The sequence below is a fragment of the Homo sapiens genome, chromosome 11 (genome assembly GCF_000001405.40).
Source record: "Homo sapiens chromosome 11, GRCh38.p14 Primary Assembly".
NCBI lineage: Eukaryota > Metazoa > Chordata > Mammalia > Primates > Hominidae > Homo > Homo sapiens.
In genome coordinates, this window is record NC_000011.10 from 112,954,994 (window position 1) to 112,967,647 (window position 12,654).

The 12,654-nt window shown below is 44.2% G+C and overlaps 1 protein-coding gene and 1 long non-coding RNA gene across 32 annotated transcripts in view, besides 1 other annotated feature; one reads left to right on the forward strand and one right to left on the reverse strand.

Annotated features, from left to right (window-relative positions):
- NCAM1-AS2 (NCAM1 antisense RNA 2) lies at positions 4,286-8,467 on the reverse strand. Its single transcript, NR_120563.1, has 3 exons — positions 8,217-8,467; positions 6,374-6,483; positions 4,286-5,858 (listed from the first exon to the last, which is right to left on the reverse strand). It is a non-coding gene; the product is annotated as an NCAM1 antisense RNA 2 (long non-coding RNA).
- Positions 6,370-7,147: an enhancer, noted in NCBI's record as "H3K4me1 hESC enhancer chr11:112832085-112832862 (GRCh37/hg19 assembly coordinates)". NCBI's record gives its function as "activates a minimal SCP1, AML or CMV promoter by ChIP-STARR-seq in primed H9 embryonic stem cells {active_cell/tissue: H9 hESC(primed)}" and the evidence as "EXISTENCE:reporter gene assay evidence [ECO:0000049][PMID:30033119]".
- The window catches only part of NCAM1 (neural cell adhesion molecule 1), a 317,017-nt gene continuing 310,789 nt past the window's right edge, over positions 6,427-12,654 (forward strand). For all 31 annotated transcript variants that reach the window (NM_001242607.2, NM_001400616.1, NM_001400621.1 and 28 more), the window contains exon 1: positions 6,427-6,671. In NM_001242607.2, the coding sequence (NP_001229536.1) occupies positions 6,620-6,671 (52 nt within the window). In that variant the 5' untranslated portion in view covers positions 6,427-6,619. The remainder of the gene's footprint in view (positions 6,672-12,654) is intronic.

Below are 12,654 nucleotides of genomic sequence, written 5' to 3' on the forward strand. Positions count from 1 at the left end.
TCCCTGTGGAAAATGGCATGGAAATTCCTCGAAAAATTAAGTGTAGTTACCATATGATTCAGAAATTCTACTTCTGGATATATATACCAAAAAGAAGTGAAAACAGAGACTCGCACAGATATTTGTATACTCATGTTCATAGCAACATTAGTCACAATAGCCAAAAGGTGGATGCAACCAAGTCACCATCAATAGATGAACGGATAAAGAAAATGTGGTACACACATACAATGAAATATTATTTAGCCCCAAAAAGGGAATAAATTATTACATGTTACAACATGGATGAGCCATGAAAACATTATGGTAAGTGAAAGTAACTGTTCACAAAAGGATAAATACTGTATGATTCTCCTTATTCCACGTACCTAGAGTAGTCAAGTTTATAGAGACAGGAAGTGGAATGGTGGCTGCTAGGGGCTGGGCAGGAGAAGGGAATAGAGAATTACTGTTTCATGTGTACGGAGTCTCAGCTGGGGAAGATGAAAAAGCTCTGGAGATGAATGATAGTGATGGTTGCACAACAATGTAAATATGCTTGATGTCACAGAACTGTACATATTAAATGGTAAATTTTATGTCATGCGTGTTTTATATTTTCCCACAATAAAACAAAAGAAAAGAAAAAAACCTGACGATATAATTGTCTACCTAGAAAACCCTAAAGACTACTACAAAATCTCATAGAACTGATAAAAGAATTCAGCAAAGTTTCCTGATACAAAATTAATGTACACAAATCAGTAGCTCTCCTATACACCACCAGCAACCAAGCTGAGAATCAAATCAAGATCTCAACTCCTTTTACAATAGCTGCAAAAAAAGTAATAATACTTAGGAGTATACCTAACCAAGGAGGTGAAAGACCTCTACAAGGAAAACTACAAAACACTGCTGAAAGAAATCATAGCTGACACAAACAAATGGAAACACATCCCATGCTCATGGATGGGTAGAATCAATATTGTGAAAATGGCCGTACTGCCAAAAAAAATCTACAAATTCAATGCAATTCCCATCAAAATACCACCATCATTCTTCACAGAACTAGGAAAAAACAATCCTAAAATTCATATGGAACCCAAAAGGAGCCCGCATAGTCAAAGCAAGGCTAAACCAAATTTACTATTTTGAAGTATAGCTAAAATCATGTAGTGGGGACTATGCTAAGCTGTTCAAAGCCCCCCTTCAGGGCTGGAGGGCTTACTCCAGATGCTGGGGATGCCCTCCTTCAGCTGAAAAGAATGACCTCTCACAAGGCCAGGTTGCATTCTTGGGGTGGCTTGAATCGGGTGATCAGTCAATATGAGGATATTACAACTATTTTCAGACCTCTCAAGGTGGGGCTGAGGTTTTGTGGTGCCTGCCCTGAGGCCCAATTTCCTCTTCTTTATTAGTAACCTGTTTATTTCCCTTCCCACACAGATGTTGATCCTGAAAGTAATTCCTAATAAACTTTCTGCACAATTAAAAAAAAAAAGGGAAATGAAAACAGCACCTCTTCCTTGATGCTTTACTTCCACTGATGCCAGAAAAAAATCATCATAACAACTGCATAAATATATGATGGGTGGGATTTGCAAAACACCCCTTGAAGCTGTGCAGTGCACAACCCACACAAAGGAGCACTGGTTCTATGTCAACCTCTGTCTCATTTCTCCCGCGTTTGGGAGTCCCCAGCACCATTGAGCTGGATTGACTGATGAGTGCCCGCTAGTCTTTAACCAGTGCCTGAGCCAGCCTTGAACAGGGAGGAAGCACATCAGTTGCCCCAGCCCCGCCATGGGTTAGAGTTTGTAAGTAATTTCTCACGTCAATCAGATTTGGAACATGAGAAGCTAAGAGTGAGCTGGGAGGGTCCCGAGAGACTTTCACTCTTTAGCTTTGTGGGCTCAAGTTTACCTCCTGGTCCTTACACTTTCCTGGCTCATGCTCAGTTCTTTGGATAAGCCAGAGAATAAATAGATTAAGTTGGACTTTCTCAAAATTAAAAATGTTACTATATGGAAAAAACACTATAAACAGAGTGAAAAGGCAACCCATGGAATAGGAAAATATTTTCAAATCATATATCTGATGAGAGATTGGTATCTACCACATATAAAGAATTCCTATGACTTAACAATAACAGAACAAACAACCCAGTAAAACAAACAAACAAACAAACAAACAAAAACGGGAAGAAGATTTTCAGCCTCTCTTAGCCTCAGGTCTTAAGTTGTCTTAAGACCTGTCTCTTGTGTTGGTCTTAAGATGCTGTGCTTCTCAGACTCCATTTTGCCTGTATCAATAGTGAAATAAAGTTCTTAGGGTATCTGTGAGTCCTAAGATCAAACCTGGGGTCTCCATTGTCAATAACAATAGGAAAGAAGCTCTAAATTAGGGCACTATTCCAAGTTCATTTTTCAAGTTGTGTAAGTCAAGCTAGTGCATAAGGTCTTGGTGGTGCTGAGCAAGAGTTAACACCAATTTAACTTACTTTATAACCTGATAATAAAGTCCTCACATTAAAAGAGAAGAAAAGAAAACTGTCTTTTAAGCCTCCTTCTCCCACAAGCTTGCCTCCCTGCCATTATCCCACTACTCCTTCAACATCACACTGCTGGAGAGAGTAGTCCACACCCCTGGCTTCTCTCTCCTCCCCTCCCTTTCATTTCTGGGACCATGATGTCTCCTTTTCCCTCCATTCCATGAATACTGTTCCCCCAGGGGCCACTAAGGACTTTCCAATGGTCAAATTCAGGAAATTCTTTTAAATCTTCCTCTTTTTTGACCACCTCAAAGCTTTCTTCTTTAGGTTTTGTGACATTGTCATGTTTCAATTTTCTTTCTAGCTGTCTGTTTTTCAGTATTTCATTGATAAGTCCTTCTGCCTGTACCTTAAACATTGATGTTCTCTGGGCCCTCTCTGTCTGTCTTCCACACATTTCCACTTGGATGTCTCTGAAACATCTCAGACTTAGCATGTGCAGAGCTGACATCATTGCTTCTTTGCTTATCACCTGGTCTGAATCTGCCCCTCTTCTTCTGCTCCCTGTCAATGTTACCAGCAACTATTCAATTGCCCACACTGGACCCTTAGCGGTTGTCACTTTCTCAAGATCTGTATCACATACACCCGTATAGCTCCACTAAACAAAATGGTAATCCCTCTCCGCCCCAGACTCTCTGTCCCCTTATCTCTCCTTATTGCTTTCCTTAGCACTTATCACCATCTGTACACTACTAAATGTTTAAGGATTTATTCTCTGTCTTCCCCCATAAGAAGGAAATCCCATGAGGGCAAAGGCTCTACTTTGTCCACGGCTACATCCCCAGTGTCCAGAGCAGTGCCAGGCACTTAGTTGAGAATCCATAAATATTTGTTGAATGAATGAAAGGAACTTGGATTTCTTCCTCTGCCTCATACTTCCATCTTCACAACATACCCAGGTCCACCTGTTCTTATCTTATCTTGGAATTGCAAATCTGGGCTCCTTTTTGCCTCCTTTCCCACTGTCGCTTTCTTAATTAGTCCCTGTCACCCTATCCAGAGCTATCATGGCCTCCTAGCTTGTCTCCTTGCCATGGCTGTCTTCTTGGACCATTCTCTGCTTCCTCTCTAAAGAACTTTCTCTCTAAAGCACAGTCTGGAGTCTCCTTCCTCTGCCTCAATCCCATGGATGTTCACTTTGTAGATGCTCATTAATGTGTGCCTGACAGCCTGGGCCTCTCTCTGGGGAGAGAGGTCCAGTGAGGGCCACAGTTTTGTCCATTTTAAAATGAGGATCAGGAAGGGATTGAAACGCAACAGAGCTCACAGATGTAGGCACCGACTAGCGGAGATATACAGAATTGGAGACAAGTGACATATCCTGTTAAAAGAATTTGGGAGTGATACTGGGAGTGTGGACTGGAATGACTGGGGCAGCATTCTAGAATGAATCATTACAACAGAGATCAACAACCACACGGGGTAGGGAGGGGCTGGAGAGAGAGAGGGAAAAAAAAGAAATTCAGTCATACTCAAGTGAGATTGGATTTCCACACTTGCCTACATTGAAAAGCTAAAAATAGGGACATTTGGGGAGAAAAATAGTGAGGAGTCTTTTAATTCTACTGACAGGACTATAAGGAGGGAGGTTTGCAGGGAAGAATGTGTCTCTCACTCTTAGGGGCAAAATTGGAAAAATTTTTATTTTGGGGGCCCCAACCTTCACTCTCCCCACTCTACCCCCTGCCTGTTCTCTCTATCTTTCCTCACCATCAAAACCTCTTTTTTAAGGAAAGAGTCTGATAACATTCATTTACATAAATCTGTAATATTTAATGTGGTGATTTTAGATGTTAGAAGCAGAAGTCTGAAATCAAAGACACTTAAATACAGCAACCATTAAAAAAAGACGTATATAATTCACTGCATCTAGCACAGGGCTAAACCCAGTGGTTGCTCCGCAAATATTTGTTGAAAGATGTTCAAAAAAGCCTTATTTATATTATCAAACTCCACAAACAATATAAATATGCAAAAATGGGGAAACCATTGCAAAATCATCCATATGAAGAAATATTACATAGCTATAAAAATATCTAGAAAAGCTTTTTAATGATCCAGAGGAATAAATGCTTATACTGATGTTAGGCAAAATCAGCAGGATTCAAATTGCTACTATAATATGTCAATTATAAAAATCATATGCACATACAGAAGACAAAATCTATGAGTATCTCTGGAATCTGTGGGATTTGGGGTTATTTTTAGTTCTTTCTACTTTTCTGTACTTTTGAATTGTTTATACTTGGAATGAGAGAAATAGCCCAAAGTAAACGTTGTGGAAGATTTACTTGGGGGAAGAAATACTTTTCAGGGGTCCAAGCTAATTACACTGTACTGGTGTGGCCCACTTGGTCTATTATAGAGGAGGAAAGTGGGGAAGAGATGGGGCCTGTCCAATAAGGATGGATGTCCTGACAGTAGAGGATGGACTTTTAAAAACTGCTACAGCGGCTGGGTGCGGTAGCTCACGGCTGTAATCCTAGCACTTTGGGAGGCTGAGGTGGGCAGATCACGAGGTCAGGAGTTCGAGACCGGCCTGACCAACATGGTGAAACACCGTCTCTACTAAAAATACAAAAATTAGCTGGGCGTGGTGGCGCGCGCCTGTAATCCCAGCTACTCAGGAGGCTGAGGCAGCAGAATCGCTTGAACCGGGAGCAGAGGTTGCAGTGAGCAGAGATGGCGCCACTGCACTGCAGCCTGGGCGACAGAGCGAGGCTCCATCTCAAAAAAACAAAACAGAAACAAAACAAAACAAAACAAAACAAAAAACCTGCTACAGGAGTGGGGAGGCCGACCTTTGAAGAAAAACGGAGTACCCGGTAACATTAGTGCTTTAATGCCTTTGAACTTATGCAGACTTCCTCTGTTAGAGGGTTTCAGTGTTCTAGGCTAATGGGTTAACCTGACATCTAGAACACCTTTCTCACATTAGTTCCTTACATACCCAAGCCTTCAGGTGCTGAGACATGATTCTTTTCACCCCGCTTTCTCCACCCCCTACTTTTGAAAACACGGGTGGAATTTTAATTAAAGCCTATTGTGTTGGTACCTCAGTAATATTATACATTAATATCTTTAAGAATTAAGGTCACGTCCCCATGTAAGAAAATATTATTTAATGACGCTTCTATATCATAATACCTATATAAAAGCCTGGCTATTTTAATAAAGAGACCACAGATTTCAGAATTTATAAACAGGAAAACATTTTCTTCGGGTTATTTCTGGAAATCTCTTCCAAACATCGGAGTTTTCTTCTAACTTAAGTCTCTTCCCACCTCCTTCCCAGGGGATCTGCTGAAGGGTGTTGTATGTCTCTCTGTGGGAGAGCAAACTTCACAGTTAGGATAAAACAAACAAACAAACAATATCCAAACAACACCCAGCAACGGCAACCCCCATCCCTCTCCAAAGTTCTAATTTCCCGCACTTAAAGTCCTGGGCTATCCTTGTGTTGCAAGGATCTTAGAATCGAAATGGAGGGATTTGACAACTTTACCTAACCAAATCTAAAATTTTGCTTTTATTATTTACTAGTTATCAAAATATGCAAACTGCTGATTAAGGAAGGCTGGGTAGCAGGAGCGCCTGCGAAGGCGTAGGGTAGAAGTGTGAAAAGAAATCCCAGCTCTCCCAGGGAGACTGCGTGTGAAAGAGCCCGGCTCCCCCAAAAGCTCCAGGCCGCGTTTTGCAGGCTTCCGCATCTGCCTCCCCTGTCTCTCTTACCTCCTTGATGTTCGGCACTATTTGTGGCCGGCGTGGTGGAAGGACACAGTGAGGTTCTCACCCCCGCCCCCCGCTCCTCGCTCCCATCCCAGTTCCATCAAAACGAACCCGGGCCAGCGCAAGGATCTCCGAGTTGCGAGTGTGCTGAGGCTGGGACTGTCACTCATTCTCCGATCAGCGCGTGAACGCAGCTCGGCTGCCGCTGGCAGGAAACAATTCTGCAAAAATAATCATACTCAGCCTGGCAATTGTCTGCCCCTAGGTCTGTCGCTCAGCCGCCGTCCACACTCGCTGCAGGGGGGGGGGCACAGAATTTACCGCGGCAAGAACATCCCTCCCAGCCAGCAGATTACAATGCTGCAAACTAAGGATCTCATCTGGACTTTGTTTTTCCTGGGAACTGCAGGTACATTTTTTTTTTTTTTAATTCTCAATCTGGTTTGCTAATTACCCCTTCCTCCTACTCCTAGGAGGAACGCTATTATTTTGGGTGGTTTTACGTGGACTGCTAAGGCTGGTCATTTTCGTTTAGCTGTGAAAGGAGCGCGTCGCCCTTGCTGCCCAGCCGAACCCCGCTCCCTCCAGGGCTGCGCTGCACGGGGCTGCCTCCCCGAGCCGCCAGCGCCCGGCGCCCCTCCGGCGCGTCCGCCCTTCCCACTTTGTGCGCCCGCGGCGGTGGGAGCAGAGCCGGCCGGCTCCTGGGGACTCAGCGGCCGCGCTGGTGATGGGCAGCGCTCCTTCCCCAAAGGCGGGCGGCGGGGCGGGGGAGGTCGCGGCTCGGGTGGTGCCGCCGCACGGGCTCGGATTCCGAGGGGGAAGTGGCTTGTCAGCCCCGGCTCCGGGAAGAGTGAACAATAAGGCTAGGGCAGCCGCCCCAGATCGTTATATTCCTGGGTCTAATAAAGTCAGGATCGCTGCTTTGCTTCCCCCGCCCCAGAAGAATAACGGTTTGCAAAATGGGGCAAAATGGGCAGAATCGCACGGCCGTTGTTGTTGGTGTGACCGTTGTTGCACCCCAGTCGACATGACGTTAGTTTTTCATTTGCCAAATTGCTGGTTAGTTGCAAAGCCTACCCTCGGCCGCGAGCACTGAAGGATGGGAGGGTCGAGCGCCGCGTTTTGACAGGAGGAAGTGCGGAGGGGCGGAGGGCGAGGAGGGCGTGATTGGGGCTGCCTGGTGTGTGCGCGCGCGTGTGCGCGCGTGTGTCTTTACACGCGCCGCGTGCCCAGTGTTGCACGGGGCGGGAGAAGAATGGCAGGTAGCCGCCCGAAACACCTCGCCCTGTCTCCTTTCTTTGGGCGAGGTTCCCGATCCTGGCAAAGTGTGAACAATAGGGAGCTGGGAGGAAGACAGTAGTGATGCTGCCGCGGGTGGCGGGGGTTGCGCCGCCGCCCAGAGAACCTCGGCAGTGTGCAGGGAGGTGCATTTCATTTTGGCTATTTCCATCCCGGCCTCCCTGGAAAATTCTTCTGTGCGTGCCCACCCTCCCCTCCAGCTGTCATCCCCCCACCTCCACCCAAGGATTTGCGCTTTGGCTCTGATGGACGGGAGGGAAGGAAGAAAAGCAGGGGCCGCAGAGAGCTGGGTGGGTTGGGCGGACATTCTGGGCGGGGGGCGTGTGCTGGGAAGCGATCGAGGAAAGCCGGGCGGAGGGGCTGTGTGTCGCGGTCGCAGCTCCAGGTACCGTTGTACCTGCCCTGGACGGCCGACCCCCGGTTGGGGAGCGCACGGGGCGGGCCAGGGAGCACCCAGTGCGCCCCCTCCGCGGGCGGCACAAGAGCAGCGCTCGGCCGCCGCCTCCAGCCAACTCGGGTCCCTCCCACGGCGACCAATCAGTGCGAAGCTGGCTGGGCGGGAAGCCGCGAGAGGCTTTTATTGCGGCGCGGGTGGCGGCCAGGAGCTGCCAGGACAGTCTCCCGGTGCTTCAGCCTAACGGTCTCGCTCACTCACCGCCAAGAGAAACCCCGCCCTGCGGCCGGTCCCCCGCCTGCCCGGCAGTTTCCGAGGAAATAAAATGGAGACTAGGTGGTCACCGGGAGTGCTCCTGGTCCGGCCGCCCGTGCTCGCCCACTCTCGCCTCTTTCACGCCGACTTGGAGCATCCCACCGCCCCCGCCAGCGCTCACTCTCGCGCCGCGGAATCCGGGCCTGAGCGCGTCGCCGGGGAGGGCATCCTGGCAGGCACACCTACGCGCGTGCGCTGACCGGCCGACCGCGGGCCGGGGGCTCTACTGACGGCGGGGCGGGGCCGTGGCAGGGCCCGGAGAGGAGGGGTGGGGACCAAGCCTAGTCCGCCTGGCCCTGGGTCTCCGCTGCCACCTGGGCGGGGGCCACCCCGGTTATGCCCCTTTCCGCGGTGCCCGTGGGTGCCGCGACGCGACCTGTCCACATGGGGCGGGGGAAGGGGGGTGTTTTTGAGACATCCTCGCCCCCGGGTGGGAGCGTGACAATGGAGCCCGGATATTTGGTGGGCCTTTTGGGGGATCGCCTGGCGGTCCTTTCCATCATCGTGATGGGTACAGTCATCAGTATTTGGATCCCGTGGAAGTTGCAGGCCCAGGAATTCCCACTGGGATGTTCCTGGATGCCCAGGCAGGGGAGGCATTCTAACCAGTGTTCCCTGGAATGAAAGCGACCTCTTTCCTGGCCCGGTACCTTGAGGATGGGAAGAAGGCAGAACGTGAAACACATACAAGGTTGCTTAACAAAAGAAAGAAGTTGAATGGTTTTCCAAAGAGAAATAATTTCCCATTAAAATGTCTTTTGTACCATAGTTTTTTTTTAAAAAAATCAAAGAATTCAAGTCAAAGGGTTAGAATGAAAATGAAAACATAACAACAAGTATATATACATATGTATATATATCTGAGGTTTTTTTTTTGTTTTTTTTTTTTTTGTTTTTTTTTTGGACTCAAATGTAGCATGTCCAGGGCAGTGGTAACTGAGTTTGTGTGCTCGGCTGGGTGCATATGAAAATTTACATATAAGGCAAGCTAACCTTAATACGTCAAGTGAGTCCGATGGGCTGCCCCTCTCCTCTTTCTGTGTCCTCTGCTCTTTAGAAATACAATGAAAGGTTGTGCAATTGCATAGTAAATTTGAGTTTATTCTAGTATAAATTTTGGATGTTTTGAAGAATTGTTCGCTTGAACGATCTGGAATGGTTAAGTCACATGTTTACTTGATAATTTTGCAGTCTTCTGCCAGTTAAACTTGCAAGAGTCAAGGAATGGATAGGACTGGGTTTCTAACAAGATACCATCGGTTAAGAACAAAGAGCTACTTTACAAAAGCTAACATTGAAATCAAGTAGTATATATAATATCTCTCACTAAGCAAATTAAGGTGCGCTTCCACAAAGTTGACTGTGAGCACAGTTATAGTGAGCCATATATTTTTGTTGATTTTCATTTGAAGACTGAGAATGTGTGTTTTTAAACAGAATTTCACTGAATGTAATAAAGGCTATATAAGAATGTGGAAAACCTTTCACAACTCTAACCAAACCCTAGAAAGATTATTTTCTTTCAATAAATACTAGCATATTTAGAAATATTAATAACTGATAATTTGTTTTAAATCCAACAGAGTTATTAAAAACAGGGAATATAATCCAGACATTGTAGACGTGTGGGCTATGATTTATGTAAGTTTTTGAGTTACTATTCCCTCTATAAAGGTCTTAAAGATCTGCTAACCTAGCTAAGCTTCCATTAGTCTTTAACTGTTTTCTTAAGTTAATGCTTTATGAACGCCCTCTTTCTTTCCCTAAATTGTTGAACCTGATAACTTCCTTCCAGATACCTTTATCTAGGATTTTTTTTTTAAAAATGGAATACCAGAAAATAGCAGGACATATTCTTGTTTAGTAAAGGAGTTTCCTCTAAGTCTTACAATGATAATTGATTAAACTAAGAATATGTTGATTTAACTGGTGACTGGTTTCTTGAGTTTGATAGTTCAAGAATTAAGATAGTAATTGCAAAGAAAAAAAAATCCCACATCAAAACTGAAAAAAAAATGATGTGGGTGTGCTATTTGTAAGGGATGTGGGTGTTTACTGAAGGCAGCAATAAGAAGGAGAAATTAGTCTGTAGCACCCCCAAATTCCAAGTTTTGAACAGTGCTTCTGTTTGGAATCCATTTATCATTAATTGAATTCCTCAGATAGGTAATATGTAATTTAATGGAAGTAACCTATATCTGTATTTTTCTGTCACAAGGAACAATGTCTTAATTGCCTTTCAAAGTAAACAGCACCATTTTGTCACTCAAAAGCTAATCTTTAGACATGTTTTTGTTCACTACAGAACCCAGTTTCTCAAATTATAGAGAGCATTTTGTAAAATTTACACTGCTTAAATAATGGACTCTGGAATTTCTGATGCAACCACTTAATTTTTCAAGGTGATGAAGCCTCTGTTAAGTATGAGTTTGATAAATTTCTCATAATTTTGTCTTTAGTATTAAAGAACTGTGGCTGCTCTCCAGACTGAAAGTGGCTTCAATACTACTGGCAGGCTTCCAAAGACATTTTACAGACAGTCCTTTCTGACTTAGTGTAAAATAAGTGATTGAGTACCTGTTGCTAAAGAACGGGTTGCACTTTTAGGATCTTGAGCTTGTGATGGAGAGCAGAACCAATTGGCAGGCCAGGGAGAGAAGGGATCGCACCTGCCCCCGTCAGTCTGCGGGAAGAATCATAGACTAGGAGGAGACAAAGACATCTTATAAAGGCTCTCCTGCACCAGTTCAGCATTGCTTTTTTGAGCACACACATGTTTTCTGGTGTCAAGATAAATATTTTAATGTAAATTCCATAATTGATCATTTTTCAGTTTAGCAGTTATAACATATAGACTAAGGAATGTCTGGAACTTTAAAAGAAATGGCAGCACATTACAGGGAGCATTTTACTGATCTTAAAACTGGGTTACAAATTACACAAAATTGAAAACATTAATCACGTGGCTGTATAAAATGAAGTCATTTGAGCTTTTAATAAAAGTCACTAAGGTGAAAATTCCTTTGGTTAAAAAGAAAGAATTCTAAGTAAAATTCGAAGAAGAAAATTTTTTACTTTTCATAATATACTCAGTGACTCTGAGCAATGCTGTAAGAGATGGTCTTTTAGGAAGGAGGAAATGTCCAAGGACCTCTGAATCCTAATGATTAGGTTTCTATGAGCTCCAGAGTTTTCACTATTCGAAAACATTGTAGTGAAACTATTTTTAACAATACAGGTAGATATGCTTACTACTTACTGTAGGGTAATAGAATACAGAAGTCAATCTGAAGGTCATAGTCCTGTTACCTCTAGCCTCTTTTGTTATTAACTCTTGGGGCCAAACCTTAAAACCATTTGCTGATGTAAAGGGATGTAAATTATTTGGCGTTGGCAGTGGTGCCATTATGCCTTTTCATTTCATGTTGTTGAAATACTGTCTCTCAGCTGCAGATGCTCATTAGGAGCATTGCTTTTTGATGTTGGCCTGGGTGCCAAATGGCGGCCTTTCAGGCAGTTTCAATACGTTACATTTAAAACATGCTCAGGCCATGTCTACATGCAGCCACTGAGTTAACGGATTTTCAGTTGGGTAGACACACTTTTCCTTTCCTGCAGTATTAATTTAGCTTCTAAGCAATTGGAGACTCCAAGAGGACTGCACTAAAAGGATAAGCTATTTGGTGTATCTTGTGTATGTGTGCTTTTGAAAAACAGATTGTAATAAACCCATTATGCATTCTATTTTCTTCCATATATACGTAACACTTTCTTGAATTCAAAGATTGCATGGCTGATATGATTTAAAAGGCTTCTATGTAACCTATATTCCACTTCGTACTCTGAGGACTTTTTGATTTGTAGCTGCAAACATGGGTAACAGCTGATCTTCCGTTTTCTATTTGGCGTCATTCCTGAGATAAGGTGTAAAATGCCTTTTGTTGTACATTAATCACCTCCTTTGGTATCTGATTACCTCATCATTTAAGAATATTCATAGTAATGTCACACTGTTTGAGATTGTGTTACATTAGGTATTCTCTTAAATAGTTGATCAAATATGTTTATTGAGTGCCAGCTTTTTATCATCTGCTCTGTGGGGAATTAAAAGGAGTGAGATGACATAATTTCTGCTGTCAGGGAACCTTGGGAGTAGTAGAGACTAGAGATTAAGAGAGGTAGATAACCCTGGGTTGAAACCCCAGACATATCCCTTACTAGCTGTCTGATCTCAGACAAATGATTTAACTCCTTCAAGTTTCAGTTTCCTCTTCCGTGAGATCGGAAAATTAGTAATGCCTACTTGTTAGAGTTATAAATATTTTAGAGATCTTAGGACTTCAGTGCATGTAGGCAGTGTTCATTAGTGAGCAAGAAGGATATA